Raw genomic sequence first — 16362 nt, forward strand, 5'->3', positions numbered from 1 at the left:
GGAGGAGCAAAGACCAGGAGCAAGATCAAGGAAATGGGTAGACAAAAGTATCAGGATACACGTTATGTTTTTATTTATGCACGGGCTACATCTACACATGCATGCACACATACACGCACACAAACACACATATAGACAGAGAGAAAAGGTGCCTTGTCGATGAGGACATAGAGACCGTCACCTCCAACTTATGAAAGTGTCTCTTGGTATCTCTTAGCTGAGGAGCCAAAGGGAGCCTCCTCCAGATAGAAAAGCCCATGCCCTCAATATAGAAACACACACAAGCCTATGCTTCATGCAACAAGCAAGTATGGAGAAACGTGTGTGCCACGAATGCCCCTCTGGACTTCTCACGTTTGCTACAGAGGTGCACAGCCTACTACATTCCCTTGGACAGCCCACTTAGACATTCCCTCAGGTGTCGGTACCTGCAAACCCACACAGCTCCCGAGTGATGGGTCTGTTTTTATTTTATGGACAATGTAAATCTTGGAATTAATCTTAGTTTGCATTGTTGCTTTGGCTGTAGATTTTTGATCCATCCAAGCTGTAAGGCAGGTCACTGACATAGCTCCCCAGAAGTCCAGCACAGAGGCCTGTTGTTGGAAGCAAAGACACTGAAGTCTAAATGCCTGAGCTCAAATCTTCCTTTGGCCGCCACCAGCTGTGTGGTCCCAGGCAACCACTGAACTCTGGCCCCTTAGTTTTGTCACCTGTATAATGGGCTTACTTACTTCAGAGGCTTCTTGGGAGGTGAAATGAATGAAAGCATGCAAAGGGCTTAAACTGTGCTAAGATGTTAGTAATAGTCAACTCATAGTGATTATTCCTCAGGATTATTATTCTGTCCTGGTCTTTTCTCATTTATATTTTTCACTTTTCTCTGGTATTTATCTCTGTAAGCCATTCCAAAGCCCTTTCAGGACAAAGTATAATATGAATAGACACCTAAGCCAGATACCATGCTAGACAGTAAGTGGGATAAAGTGTTCAAAAGATGAGGTCCCTGCTGGTAGAAGAGAGGGTTATGATTTCTCATTCACATTTCCACCCCACTTCCCAACACATCGTTTACCTTTTCCAATTAAACACTAAGTGGTAAATCCCATATATATTGAGTACCAACTACGTGAGTCAAATCCCCTACTTCATGGACCCTTAACCAAAGGTCCCTGAGGTTCCCCAATGTATTTGCCGTGTTTCTTGTTTCTGTGCATATGTAGTTTTTTCTGGGGAGAGGGTCATCAACTACTTCCATTCAATTCTGAAAGGGCTCCATGATCCTCCAAGACCTGAAGCCCTACTCACATCTCTGCTCCAAGGTTCCCTGGCTTGGCCCCACCTCTTCCAGAGGGATGGACTGGTGCTGACAATCTGGGGGACCTTGGGCAAGTTGTGTCCCCTCCCTGGCCTTAGTTTTCTCACCTCCGAAAGAAGGGGCTGGACTTGAAGATTGCCAACACGCTCCCCTGCTCTAATGCCAGGATGGAGCACTGCTTCTCACCTCAAGGTCCCGGAGGACAGGGTGGTCTTCAATTCCTGGGAACAGCACCCGCATGGTGTAAGTTCTATAGTCCAGGAACGGAATCCCGGCTCCATCCAGGTCACTGGTCAGCTCATGGATGTCCGTCTGCAGCTCGGCAAAGGCTGGCACGAAGAGAAGCCTGTGAGATGGCTGGATGGGGAGGCTCCAGGAGTCACCTCCATCTCAGAATGCTCAGAACCCTTACCCAAGCCCCTAGGAGACATGAGCAATGGACCACGATGGGCGGGAATAACTGGAGAGGCTATGTTTACATAGCTGGGATTGGGATGAATGAATGGCATTAGCATGGGAGAAAGATGTAGTGCAAGAAACCTTGTCTTGGGGCTAAAACCTTTCCAAAGTGTGATGATGTGGGGTGGTGGCTGAGGCTGTCCACAGATCTGTGCTGCTGCTTGGCCAGGAGAGACTCCCCATCTGAAGATGAAGGGCTTTGGTTTGCAAAATATGCTGGGGAGGGGGATGTAGAGGGATGGGTAAGAGAAGGGAGAGGTGCCATGAGGAAGAGTCCATTCCTGATGCTGTGTTTTAGAATAGATTTCCTTATAAGATGTTAAGAAAAACTGATAAAGGAAAACAAGTTTAAAGACACAAGTCTGGACCATGCAGCTCATCAGAGCCATCAAACTTCCAAATGGGGCAGAGATGGAGGCTCAGCCACACTAATATAGTCCTTCTGTATAAATAGGCAAGGTATTTCTTTGTCCTTCCTTCCTCAAGGTGATGCTACTTGATGGTGAATTATGACCTGCATGTGGGCACTGCTGTGTGTGGCGGCAGCTCAGGCCTCCAGATGAACAGAGTGGCAAGAACCCCCAGGAAAGTGAGCATGCAGTAGAGCCTCAGGCTGTTACATAGCACCAAAGCTGTCACCATATTCCGTTCTGGAAACATCCTCCCCCAGGGCCACCCTCTGCCACAGGGGTACTCAGGGGTGAGGCACCCAGCCCTTCCCTGCTCCGCCTTTCTCTTTGGTGTGTGCACACACACATATACGTGCATGCATGCACATGGACCACCAGGATGGATTAACACATGCTGGCAAAGAAGAACAGCCAGTGGGCATTAACTATTAAAAAATATTTCTTTCTATTTACATAATCTCAAAAATAGGGAGAAAATATTTTGTGAACTCAGAAGGGATGAACAAGCCCAATGTGGCTCTAGAGCCTCAAAAAGCAAGCCCAGCGCCCAGTGAGCTGTGATGATCACAGAAACACAATGCAGCCACCCTAGGAACTGTCTGCAGGGACCCCAGTCCTGCCCTTGCCCATGAGTTGGGTGGAGCTCCACCCAGCAGAGCAGACTTCAGGCCCTCAAATTTTGGCTTTCTGTGCCAGGAGAATCCCAAGACTGCTTGTTTGAGAGAGCCAAGGGGATGCCACCTGGAGAGTCCTCTGCAGCCTCTCCTGCTGCTCCTCTCTCCCTGCACCCCTGCACCTCTACACTGGCCACACAGACACAGGGGTTCCTGATATGTAGGCTGATTTCAACAGTAGAGAACCCAAATGCATCCAAGTGGAGCCTGCACCAATGTGTGTGTGCATGTGTTTTTGGCATGTACTGTCACCAAAAGCCCTGGGGAACATTCATGTGTGTCCTGAGTGAGGAACATGGGTGTGTATGCTTATAAGAGAGTGTGGGAACATGTGCATGAGCATAGGTGTGGGTGCATGGGCACTTGTCTGAGTGTGTATGTCAGGGAGTGTATGTGAGTGTGTGAGTGTGACAGTGTGTGAGCATGTCAGGGAGTGTGTGAGTATGACAGTGTGTGAGCATGTCAGGGAGTGTGTATGACTGCATGTGTGTGTGTATGTCAGTGAGTGTGTAGGCATGTGCAAGTGTGAATGTCAGTGTGTATGCATGTGTGAATGTGAGTGCATGGATGTGAATGAATGTATGTCAATGAGTGTGTATGTGTGTGAATGTGAGTGCCTGCGTGGGTGTGAGTGCATGAGTGTGTGTGTATGCTTGTCAGTGTGAGTGTGCATATGTGTGTTGGTGTGTATGCAAGTACGAATGTGAGTGCATGTGTATGTCTGTGTGTATGCATGTGTGAGTGCATGCGTCTATGTGTGCACGCATGTGTGAATGTGAGTGCATGAGTATGTGGGCATGTGTGTGCACGCCTGCAAGTTGAGTGCGTGAGTGTATGAGTGTGCATGCATGTGTGCATGTGAGTGCATGTGTATGCATGTGCAAGTGTGAGTGTGTAAGTATATGTCAGTGTGTGTGTACGAATGTGAGTACATGAGCGTGTGAGCACATGAGTGTATGTCAGTGAGTGTATGTATGTGAAAGCATGAGTGTGTGAGCATGTCACTATGTGTGGGCATGTATGTGTGAGTGCACGAGTGAGTGTATGTGAGTGTGCATGCATGTGTGCATGTGAGTGTATGTGTGAGTCCATGAGTGTATGTCAGTGAGGGTGTGTGGGCCTGTGTGGGAGTGTTTGTAAATACACGGGTATGTTTATATATCAGAAGCTTAGGCCCATGAAGGGCCCAGCTGGGTGTCTTCTGAGTTTGTGTAGAGGACGTCCTGGCTTGCTGTGAAGTCTTCAAGGAGACCCCTTGGCTTGGGCCAGTGCAGCCCTGTAAACGTTCAGTGGCTGGCTCTGGGCAAGCTGCAAAGTGCCTCTGTGGCTAGTCTGACAAGTCCTTTGCTGTAAGACCCCTTCTTCCTACGTGCACAGCATAGCTCGCCCCTAAAGTCTGAAGCCAAGGTTTCCTCCTGGGGCCTCAGCTGACAATCCTGGGTGGGAGCTCCCATCGGCTGCTCCCTCCCAGTTGGGGTGCTCGGCCCACAGGGAGCAGAAGGAGGGTGTTGGCTTTTTATCAGTCTGCAGCTTTCCTTTAAGTCACCAAGCGCCTCCAACATTCAAAGCTGCGTGCCTGCCACACATAAAAGAGATTCTAATCACTACACCTAATTAGAGGAAAGAGTACATTGCGGAGAAAAAAATTAAGCAGCGTAAATATAATAAAAGGCAGTAATTAACAGTCCCACAAGGCGGATGCTGTGTTGACAGCTGAAGGATGTAGAGAGGGGATGGAATGGATCCACTTCCCCATCAAAAAGAGCCGTGGCTGCCCTGGTGGGAATCGGTGTGAAGTGAGAGCCCCAGGTATGGGGCCGGATTTACTCCATGTACAAATCTACAGCAAAGAACCAGCTCAGATCCTCCCAGGATGAGTCACAAAATGATATCCTGGGGGTTACAAGAGTCTGACTCCTAAATTTCCTTCTTGGATTTAGTGCAGCTGATTTCACTTTATGGTGGTGTTTGTAATTTTTTTAATACAAGCTTTGAAACACCCTTCCTTCTAAATCACAGATCAGCCCTACAGCCTTACCTTCCTGCTAGAGGAAGAAAGCTGGAGATTGCTGAAATGCGTCATGTTAAGACACCCCCAGACCTCCCCTCGAGTAGAGTGCAAAACCCACTCAACCAGGATTCCAGGTATGGAGGCTGCTCTAGTGGGGTGAAGGTGCTCTAGTGGGGTGAAGGTGACAATCCTGGGTGGGAGCTCCCCTCGGCTGCCCCCTCCCAGTTGGGGTGCTCGGCCCACAGGGAGCAGAAGGAGGGAGTTGGCTTTTTATCAGTCTGCAGCTTTCCTTTAAGTCACCAAGCGCCTCCAACATTCAAAGCTGTGTGCCTGCCACACATAAAAGAGATTCTAATCACTACACCTTCAAGGAGAGGGCAAGGAGACCTTGGCCTCTCTGGTGTTGCCAGGGTGGGGCCTGCTTGGGTATGGGTGTGGTCTGGGACACAGGCATAGGGACTATAGAGTGAGAGGCTTTGCAGGTATGCAGGTAGGATGCACAGCCTCCAGCATTGCCCACAGCTGCCTGGCCTGCTTGCTTGTAAATGAAACACATACACATACACATACACACACACACACACACTTGTAAATGAAACACATACACACACACACACACACACACACACAGCCTCCAGCACTGCCCACAGCTGCCTGGGCTGCTTGCTTGTAAATGAAACACATACACATACACATATATACACACACACACACACACACACACACACAGCCTCCAGCACTGCCCACAGCTGCCTGGCCTGCTTGCTTGTAAATGAAACACATACGCATACACACACGTGCACACACACACAGCCTCCAGCACTGCCCACAGCTGCCTGGCCTGCTTGCTTGTAAATGAAACACATACACATATACAGGCGCGCGCGCACACACACACACACACACACACACGGCCTCCAGCACTGCTCACAGCTGCCTGGCCTGCTTGCTTGTAAATGACACACATACACATACACGTGCGTGCTCACACACGTGCGTGCTCACACACACACACACACAGCCTCCAGCACTGCTCACAGCTGCCTGGCCTGCTTGCTTGTAAATGAAACACATACACATACACACACACACGCGCACACAGCCTCCAGCACTGCTCACAGTTGCCTGGCCTGCTTGCTTGTAAATGGAACACATACACATACATACACACACATGCACACGCACACACAGAGCCTCCAGCACTGCCCACTGCTGCCCGGCCTGCTTGCTTGTACATGAAACATATACACATACACAGATGCGCACGCACACAGACACATATACAGCCTCCAGCACTGCTCACTGCTGCCCGGCCTGCTTGCTTGTATATGAAACATATATACATACAGATGTGCACACACACACATGCACACACACACATTCGCACAGACACACACACCGCCAGCCTCCAGCACTGCCCACTGCTGCCCAGCCTGCTTGTTTGTATATGAAACATATGCATACACATACACAGATGTGCATGCACACACATATGCACACACGCACACACACATGGCCTCCAGCATGGGGCCACTCAGTACCTTCCTTGCACTCCAGGGCCACACGGGACTCCAGGTTGTCCATCTGCATCTGCAGCCGCTTCAGCGTGAGGTCACTTTCGCGGGACTTGCGTTTATAGGCAATGAGCACGGCCACGATGAAAATGATGAGGAGGCCGCCAGCCACTGCGATGCTGACGATGGCGGGCAGGCTGAGCGGGCTGTCCGGGGCAATGTACACCATCCCCGGGGAGTACTCCATGCCACCGACACGGGCCTGGGGGCACACAGGGCAAGAGGGAGCTGGGTGTGGGGACGCAGCAGCTTTGGCAACAGTCCCAAGTTACCCATGAACTAGTGACCAGGGCAGGATGACGGAAAGGAGACCAATCACTGGTGTCAAAATAGACAAGAGGGCATGGGGGGCTGGGAGCGGGGACAGGCACAGCTTAACAGAGCTCACCCCCAACTGGAAAAACCTCACCTCCTCTTATTCAGGAGCGAGTTTTGTCATCTTCATAAGAAAACAGCACACAACTGGGACCTAAACACAGTCTGCCACAAATGACTGGCTCCCCTAAGATTTATGCCCAATCTAAGGGTGGACAACTGAAGCACAGAACATGATATTAAGATATTACGGAATTCCCTGGGCCAGCAACAGCCTTCTCCTTGAAGGCTTTGTTTGTTGCAGGTGATTTAGCAACTATTTAATGCTGTTTTGCATTTTCCTTATTGTTGCACCAGCCAGTGTGGAAAGAATGACAATACAGAAGAGAGAAGCTCAAAAGTGAACATGAAGAAAGAACTTGGGGTGTGGGGTAGCTACAGGAAAAGTTCTTTGTGGGACAGAATCCCCTCTTGGAAAGCCTTGGTGGCCTGAGCTCACATCTGCATCCCTACTGCCCGCTCCATCCAGGATGGGGTTCTGCCAGCCTCACCATCACTTTGTGCCTGCCGATGAGGTTGGGGGACTCGCAGAGCAGCTGGACATCTGACACGGTCACGGTGCACGGCTTCTCCCCAACCAGCACAGTGTAGTTCAGCTTCACGTTGCCCCCAGCCACAGGCGGGATCAGGTTCTTGCCCTGTACAAATGGGAAAGCACCAGTTCCCACCCCAGAGTGAGGACCACAGCTACCAGCTGGCTCTCATGTCCTCCCACCTGGAGGTCCCATCCCGCTGGTGAGCTGGTGAAGAAGCCACCTTTGGTAATAAGTGCAAAAAATATTCATGGCATGACTACCACCATTGCCTCTTCCTCCCAGTGGCTAATCAGTTATCAAAGTACTCCTTTCAGCTTATCCCAAATGCAGCCTCAGAATCCTTCTCAATGCAGAGTTGGAGTCAGTCACTACCAATTGATTCAAATTGTCATAAGCTTTAATTAACCTGTAACCCATGTTCCAAAGGAAGCCCTATGCTGTGGTTCGCACAAGGCTGCCTCAGAGGAAGCAGTGAGCCTGACCTGCCAGTACTTGGACTTTCAGGACAATAAAAGCTTGAGAGTCAAATAGCCAAGGTGGATCTGCCTTCCCTGGGTAGAACCGGCCCCTAAAGAGAGTTTTCTTCCCAGTACAGACTCAGAGAGAACATTTATCACACTCTGGGCTACACTGCAACCTCTGCAAGAGATGCTGGTTGAGAAATGTGGCAGGAGTCTGTGACTTGAACACCCCCTTCCATGCAGCAGCCCCTTCTTTTCCCACCCCCGCCTCCCACCACCCTCACTCCACCTTTAGGATGATGGGCGTGCCAGGCTTGAGCTCCAGGATTCCTGAGGGACCAAAGGCCTCAAACACCGGGTTGGGATAGTAGGTGAAGTTGGTCTTGTTGAGGATGAGCAGGGACTGGACGTTGTCCAGGATGAAGCCAAACTCCTCGGGCCTCTCGGTCAGGTCTGACTGGTGGTCAGGACCCAGAGCGAGGGCGGGCGCCTGACAGGTCATCTCAGTAGCGTTCAGAACCTCACAGATCTGTGGGAGGAGCCACAGAGTGGAGTCTATGCAGTATCTCCACATACCCACAGCCCCAGTGCACATAGTGGGCCTCCCTGGATGTCATCGGGATAGCAAGGGGTTGACAAGAGGATTAGAGATGAGTCAGGGCCACACAATTGGGCACTCAAGGAATAGGCTCTATAGCTTGCACCCAGCTCCGGTTTTGCCCATAGTGGGTGTGGCAATGGCTAGGATTGGAAGAATGCAAGAGTAAAGGTATAAAACCCAGGGAACCCCAAAAGTAATTACTCCTCCATGTCTATACCCCAAGAAGTAAAAATGCCCTTATGTCTTCCCCCCTATTCCACTATCCTAGTATTCAAGGGTGTCAGGCTGTGGGTTATCAGTGTATGGGCAGGGAGTTACCTCAGTACTTGGGAAGACCCACACCCTTTGGGGAAGCAACGTGTTGCATGGGCAGCCTCCATGAACCCCATCAGCCCTACACTCACATTGATGTGCTCCTTCCCTCCATGCTTGGCACGGATCTGGGGGTTCTGTATGAGGTCCAGGTGGGTCCCCCATACGGCGATGGGTGTGTTTCCACTGAGCAGGAAGAAAGAAGGAGATGTGTAAATGATAAGTTCAGGAAGAGCAATGGCACTCTACAATGATGACTGAGCTATGACAATAAGGACAGTGATAACTAGGCAGCAGGGTAATGTTCATGGGGACAAGGATGACAAGCTGACTGCATAGTAATAAGGATGAGTATCTCGGCAGCCAAGGGGAGGGCAGTAATGACCAGATGTCCGTGGCCATCCTTTGCTGAGTTTGTTTGGAGTATGGACCCCCGTGGAGGCCCAGTCAACAGCACAGCCCCCTTGGCTCTCCAAGGCCTCTTGATTTGTGCCAGCTGCTTCTCTGCAACCCCTTGGTGTCTCTTCCTCCATCCTTCCCCTGGTCCTCACCAATCTTGGGACTTTTTAAACATTAGCTTTGGCCTCATGAAAGCCTCGCTCCAGATTGTCCCCACCACATCCTGCAGGGGCTGAGCACAGTCTGCTCCCCCAGGGCAATCGTTCTATAATTTTCTATCTTGGAGGCTTCGATCAGGCTGAGATCTGGGAAAGGCAGAGGGTCCATGAATGCAAATGTGAATGCAAGTGCGAAATGCTTTTGGACTCGGGTCTCCTGTACCCTGGGGTGGCACAGGACCACTGACAGGGAGGACACAGGACTGCTGAGAGGGAGGGCACAGGACTGCTGACAGGGAGGGCCTAGGAGCTTCATCTTGTGTAACCTTTCAAAAGAAACCTGGATGCCAGTGCCTATCCTTAGGGCAGCTGAGAAGTGGGCATAAAGGGGTGGGCAGTACTGTAGTGGACTGTGTCCTCCAGGGGGGCTACTCAAAGAAAAATGAGAAATAGCCTGATCCCCAATCAAAGGAGCATCTTCGAGAAGAATCCTGCTATCTAAAACAGGCTTTAGCAAGTTAGTTAGCTAGAAGTTGATGAGTAAAGAATCCTTGACACACACACCCACATTCATTTCCACCCATCTATCCATCTGCCTGTCTTTATATTGCCAGTTGCTTCTCCCTCTCTCCTTGCTCACATGCGCGCACACACGCATGTGCGTGCACACACAGTGTAAGATTCCTGTGAAACTCGGAGAGGCTCTTGCACATGTGACAGACAGTGCTGGAGATGACCTTCTGGTGTCTAGCCATCTTCCCTGTCCTCTCAATCACCAATTCAACACACATTTATCAAATGCCCACCATCACTGTTCACAAGTAACCCAGGTGGCTTATAAGAGCAGAGCCTCACCCCATCCTCAGACTTTATTAACTTAAATAAAAGCCCTGGAGCTGGCTGGCAGACCCAGAACATGTCTGTCTCCAACCTCCCTCCTAGTGGGAGCATGATGCAGGAATGGCAGCTGAGTGCCAGTTAGGGTGACACCTCTATTTCTATGAGGATGACACAAAGAAGAACTGAATTATACCAGGCTGTGAATTTCGCAGAGAGTTGCAAAGTTTGTTGACTAAGTCACAAAGGGCTGCATCAACTTCCTGGGGCCAAATCCTGGCATGGCTTTCTACAGACGATTTTCCCCTCTCTGTGCCTTCTGGTCTTCATCTGCCTTAAGGTCATGGCCAAAGCTCAGAAGGTTTGGGCCTGATAGAGTAACTGCTGAGGACGGCCAAATCTCATCTCTGCAGGCAAAGCCTGTCTTTCTTTTGGGTTTAAGACAGGGGGTGGCAAACTCTTTCTGTAAAGGGCCAGATAGTAAATATTGTAGGCTTTACAGGCCATATGGTCCCTGTCGCAGTTACTCAACTCTGCTGTTATAGTGAGAAAGCAGCTATAGACAATACATGTACGAGTGAGCATGGCTGTGCGCCAATAAAACTTTATTTACAAAAGCAGGTGGCTAGCCAGATTCAGCCCACGGACTGGAGTTTGCCGATCCCTGGATTAAAAAAAGATTGTTCCCTGGACTGGACACATCCCTGCTCTCTGCCTCAGCCCGGGGAGACCACTTCTGCATGTACTTCCTGCTCACTCCCCCAGCCCCACACCCCTGAGAACTGAAGCTGACAGTGAGAAGCCTGGTCCCAGCAGGGGGCAGCGGGAGGGGGCTGAGCCAGGCAGGGCCCTGTGCATGTGCATCTCACTTCAGCCTCTCAGCTGCCTATGAGAGTGGACAAATGAGGGACTCTGGCCCCAGGCAGGTGAGAACTGTTAAGGCCACTGGGCTGGTAAGCAGTGGAGCTGGGCTGAGACCCTTCCCACGCTGCCCCTGTTACAGTGACTTCCCAGTGACCTCTGTGAGCTTTGCTGTGGGGTGCCCTCTGTAGCATCTTCTCATTCCCATGTGCTAGCCAGGGCCTGGAAAGGCAGACTCATGCCGTGTGCCTACTCCATCTCCCTTGATGGGAGACATACCACTCCAGGGACCCTAGAGATCCTGGGATTTCAAAATCCCTGGGTGAATCACTGAATAGGCAGAGGCCCAGGAAGAGTACCAATTTGCCCAAGGTAAATGAAGGTCCCCAAGTCCCTGCCCTAGGGCCTTTCTATACCAACATTCAATGCCTGGTCCCCTCCCTCTGAGACAGGTGTTCAGTGCATCTGGCTGGGCACTGGGAAAGGGCAGGAACAAGACCTAAACTCTACCCTTGAGGAGTTTACAGCAGAGGGGAGGGGAAATATAAGCAGGCAGCCAGGAGCAAAGAGGATAGGTATTTGGATGGGGCCTCCAGGCTCAGAACACAGCTTCCCCCAAGGAACCTGACTACAGGGAGTAGTCAGGCCTGATCTAACTCCTTCTTCCACACCCCTCAGCCTGAAGGTGGGACCAGGATTAGCACCTATGTCTACCAGAAGTGAGAAGAGTAGCCTGGCACCCCCAGCAGTCACTGCAGCATAGGGACATGGCCTCCAGCACAGTGCCTGTCCTTGAACTGGGAAAGGTGGGTTCTTGTTGTTAGGAGCTTGGCCTCCAGGCTGGGTTTGGCACAGAGGTGCTCTCAGTGGAAGGAGGGAGCCACAGTAGGAAGGTCTGATTTGGGGGTGTTTGGAATCAATTCCAGCTCATCCATCCCCCAAGCAGGACTGGGCCCCCAGAACTCTCCTTGGCTTTCAAGAGTCAGGGAAGGGAAACAGAGGTGCAGAAGCATTAAGGTCCGCTTGGGCCAGCTCCTACCTGACAATGCTCCATTCTGGCTCAATCCGCACGATGGTGGGGTCTTCCACATACTGAAAGACCAGGTCCTGGTGGATCTTGGCCCTGTCCACCTGCACCGACACCTTCATCTCTAGCACCTCATCTGAGGATGTGGTGTTGCAGACAATGTAGGATGGAGATCGCCTGGAGGGCAGGAAGACAGAGCACTGGGCGCCTGGTGTTGAGGAGGACAGAGGTCCTGAGTCAAGGCCCTCCCACACCGCTCCCTGCATGTCAGGATGCTCAGAGGCCATGGGTGGGTGCTCTCAGACAGAAAACTGGAGAGCCAGTGACAAAGACTCTCCTTGGCCAAACTTTAGACAGGTTCCTCTGAGCCTTCTTTTCAAATAGGCCTCATCCCTGGGTCTGTCTTTGGCCTGTCTAGCCTTGTTTTTTAGCAAGAATCTGGCTAAGTCTATTTGGGGAGAACCCTCCCATACTTGACATCTGATCACCCTGGCCTGCCTTTGCAAGAATCACGTTAAGTTGGTTTAGCAGGAGTCCATCTACCTTGATGTATCCTCTTAGTGATTTTTCATTCACTGAGCCCCTTATTCTGCTCATTGGCTATAAACCCCCTGCTGTCTTTGTAGTATTTGGAGTTGAGCCCCATCTGTTTTCCCTGATGCAGTAGTCTTGACATCAGTTGCAATCGTCCTGAGTCTTCCTTGCCATTTTAACAAGTGTCAGAATAAATAATTGTTTCTTTAACACTACTGATGCCAGGCCTGGCCAGGTCTGACTTGGGAATTGTCACAGCTCTCAGCGTAGCTCCCTCAAGGAAAAATCCTCTCTCTAGAGAATCTCAGGCCAGCTGAGGGAGCTTCTCCAGCCACATTGCCTAGAGTCCTTCACTGAATGCACCTCCTGCCTTGCTCCTACCCCCTAGGCTCCAGTTCATGACAGGTGTGCCCTTCTGGGGCTGCACAGTAGGACCAGGGGAGGCAAGGTCACCTGGCCTTGTAGGCTCAACCTCAACCACTGGATTGCTGTGCCTATCATCTCTGAGCAGGTCCAGCTGGCTCTGCAGCTCCCAGAGTGGATCTGACCCTCGTGAATGGGCTTTAGTTGTAGATTCCAAATTGCATTCTGGGGTAACCTAGGGTTCTGCAGAGTGGGTGCTATGGGGGCACCAGGGCTAACTGATGGGCCATGAAGCATATGGAGCCCATCCAGGGAAGGGAGGGCTGACAGGTCTCCAGACTGAGCCCAAATCCTCTCCCAAAGAGCACGTCCACTTTGTTAGGCAGGAGGAGTACTTCCAAGCCATAAGGTGATTGAAACCACCTTTGCAAAAATTGTTGCAAAAAAGTGTGGCACCTGTGCAAAAATTTCTGACATAGAAAAATTATCACAGTGCAAGTCTGACCTAACGGACCCTATCTTGCTTTTAACCTCCAAGCTACCCTTGTTCATTCCTGGGCACAGACCAAGCTAACTATAGGAGGAATTTAGTTTATAGTTTAATTTTGTAACAAAGATGATAACAGCCTTTTCCTGAAACAAACCCCCTCTTTGCCTGGGGACCAGAGAGCCTACCTTTGAAAAACTAACAAATTCGCCACAAGATCAGAAATTATGACTCAGGAGGCACATAAGCAACAAGAGGCCACAAGATTCCAAATGTTCCCAATTGCTCCTATGGATAACATCACTATTGTAAAACCTAAGATCACTGTTTGAGATACTTTTCAGATCCTGAATTCTGATTGACCAGCTGGTACCACCCAGACCAGTAACGTGGCTCAACTAGTTCTGCGATCCCACCCAGGAACTGAAGACAGCAAGAAAAACCTATTTCAACTTTATACAATTTCATCTGCAACCCAACCAATCAGCATTCCCCACTCCCTAACCCCCCGCCTGCCAAATTATCCTTAAAAAAACCCTAGTCTCCAAATTTTCAGGGAGACTGATTTGAATCATACAACTCCGATCTCCCATTTAGCCAGCTCTGTATTGATTAAATTCTTTCTCTATTGCAATAATGCTGTCTCAGGAAATTGGCTCTATCTGTGCAGCTGGCAAGAAGAACCTGTCAGGTGGTTACACCCTCCCAACTCTCTGCAATAAAAACAAAGCTACCCTGAAGTCATTTACCTGTCTAACCTTTCCCTCTCTGGTGCTGCAGAAAGGGGCCCTCTGAGTTACCTGTGGAAGAGACAGGGCTGCTTTCCAAACATCACCACCACGTTGCTTCCGGCATTCAGGTTGGTGCCTGTGATGGTCACTTGGGTCCCTCCGGACATGGGCCCCCGGCTGGGCTTCAGATCTGAGAGAGTCAGTGTCTGTGTAGAAAGGATGTGGCCTGAGACACAACCAGGAAGGGGTGGAGGAGGCTTCTGGGCAGGCGTGAGGCAGCACCCCACTCCCCCAAGCTGCCTTCTGGAATCTTTGGTAACAGTGGTCTCCCAGAGAACCAGGGCAGTTCTCTTAGGCTTGCGTGGATAGGCAGTGTTCCAGACCCTGAGAGTTTGCATGCCTATCTTAGTAATAGTAATACTAATAGCTGCCATGTACTTATTTTTTAAGTGTCAGATTGTACATCTTCATAATTATACATGTATGTGTATATATCCCTATATACACATACATATATATAATTTAATCACCAATCAATTCTTTAAAGTAGGCATTATTATTTTACAGAAGAGATTCAGAGATGTTAAGCTAGTTTTCCAAGGTCACACAGCTAAAAAAAAAAAATGGCATAACTGAGATCTTACCCCAGAGCTCCAGTTCTCAACCCCTCTCTGACCTACAGCTCTGTTCTTGGGTGGTAAACTGTCTCTCCCACAGGTCTCTACAAAGAGCTGCCCAAAGCACCCAGTGGCAGAGCAATGGGAAGTGAGAGCCCCAGGGAAACTCAGAGAGAGAAACAGAAAAGAGTCAGTTGCTTTCAAGGGCTGCCCCCAGCCCTCTGCCAGAATGGGACCAGTGAGGAGTCCAGGTTGGGGGCAGGGCAGAAAAAAGCTCTTGACAGCTGGGGATTTGGAGTTGCAGTTTGTTCTTTCATTAGCATTTTAATGGAAAAACTTTCCTCAGTCCCAGGTGAGAAGCCTGTATCTGCATTTAAATGAAGATTTCTCTCTCCCTTCCCCAGCTACCTCCTCCTTAAAGAATTCAGCACCAAAAGTCGAACCCTCTCAGTTCCTTGGAGCAGGCTGACAACCTCCCCTTGGAGATGCTTTGATAGGGAAGCCCCAGAGCTTCCCTATCACCTGGCACATGCGCCTCCAGGTCCAGGATCAGGGCACATGGGTGAGGAGACACGCAGACCACAGCTCCTGACCTGCCTCACCAGGTCTCAGCACCCTGTCTCTGGATCCCAGGTCTAGTATCCCTGTAACATGGGCCAAGCCAAGGAATAGCTTGTCATTTTGGCTCAACCAGAGACCAGGAAGAGGGTGGGGTGAGGCTGTGGAAAGAGCCCTCCTTTCTCAGCTCTGCCTGGATCTCGCTGTGTGACTCTGGACAAGACATTTCACCTCTCTCATCAACAAAATCAGGGGGCTGAGCCAAAAAGTGGTGATCTTCAAGGCTCCTGGCAGTTCTCTTGTTCTGTAACTTGCAGTACCTCTTCAAATGGTACTTGTGCCCATCTTAAAGTATCCCCACCAACCTTCCCAGAGAGGAAAGGAAAGGAAAGGAAAGGAAAGGAAAGGAAAGGAAAGGAGAGAGAGAGAGAGAGAGAGAGAGAGAGAGAGAGAAAGAGAGAGAGAGAGAGAGAGAGAGAGAGAGAGAGAGAAGATTGTGCACACAGGCTTCGATGCAGGGATGGTCCTAAAGAGACAGAGTTGAACTCAGGGAAGTTAAAATAGATGGGGGTTGGTGCTCCCTGGCAGCCTGTGGGTGAGGGTTCTTAGAAGGGGTAGAAGTGAGTAATCCCTGCAGGTGTTGCTGGGGCACTATCAAGGGGCTCACTGGTGGGGAGAGGATGTTATGGATACATGTTTTAGAGTTGTGAGAAGCTATTAATTATTCAAGCCATGCTTCATAAATATTTCACGGTGGGTTTGCACAGGAAATCAAATTCTGCATTACTTGCCACCTCTTCACTTGGCTCCATGAATGGAGGTAGAGGGAAGGGGGAAAGCATTCCCTGCATGGAGACCTTTAGGAACAGCTAGTGACAGCCCAGGGTGTTAATCTGGGGCCTCTTGGTCTTGGCATTTGGTTTTTGATGAATAAACCCACAAATTGGAGTCTGGCCTGATTGTGGGAGAGGACAAATCTTCCCTCTAGCCTTGGTACTAAAAAGGGTCTCCCCAACATGCCCCAAGTCCTGGGGAAAGAGCTTCCTGGCTGTCTCAGAA

At 50.2% G+C, this 16362-nt stretch overlaps 1 protein-coding gene across 8 annotated transcripts in view, besides 1 other annotated feature; it reads right to left on the reverse strand.

Moving 5' to 3' along the window:
• Positions 1-16362, reverse strand: part of PLXNA4 (plexin A4) — a 525349-nt gene that overhangs the window by 49934 nt on the left and 459053 nt on the right. For 6 of the 8 annotated variants that reach the window (XR_927546.3, NM_001393897.1, XM_017012779.1 and 3 more), the window contains 7 exons: positions 14198-14334; positions 12026-12190; positions 8824-8917; positions 8108-8347; positions 7313-7459; positions 6414-6648; positions 1505-1647 (listed from right to left, as the gene is read on the reverse strand). Coding sequence is in view for 7 of the 8 variants with exons in the window: in NM_001393897.1 (NP_001380826.1) it covers positions 1505-1647; positions 6414-6648; positions 7313-7459; positions 8108-8347; positions 8824-8917; positions 12026-12190; positions 14198-14334 (1161 nt within the window). In the remaining variant the exon portion in view is untranslated. Of the gene's footprint in view, positions 1-50; positions 597-1504; positions 1648-6413; positions 6649-7312; positions 7460-8107; positions 8348-8823; positions 8918-12025; positions 12191-14197; positions 14335-16362 lie in introns of those variants that run through there. The other 2 variants (XM_011516676.3, XM_047421018.1) reach the window with 2 other exon arrangements.
• Positions 6610-7131: an enhancer, noted in NCBI's record as "H3K4me1 hESC enhancer chr7:131864642-131865163 (GRCh37/hg19 assembly coordinates)". NCBI's record gives its function as "activates a minimal SCP1, AML or CMV promoter by ChIP-STARR-seq in primed H9 embryonic stem cells {active_cell/tissue: H9 hESC(primed)}" and the evidence as "EXISTENCE:reporter gene assay evidence [ECO:0000049][PMID:30033119]".

Source organism: Homo sapiens, chromosome 7, assembly GCF_000001405.40.
Source record: "Homo sapiens chromosome 7, GRCh38.p14 Primary Assembly".
In the NCBI taxonomy this organism is placed as follows: domain Eukaryota; kingdom Metazoa; phylum Chordata; class Mammalia; order Primates; family Hominidae; genus Homo; species Homo sapiens.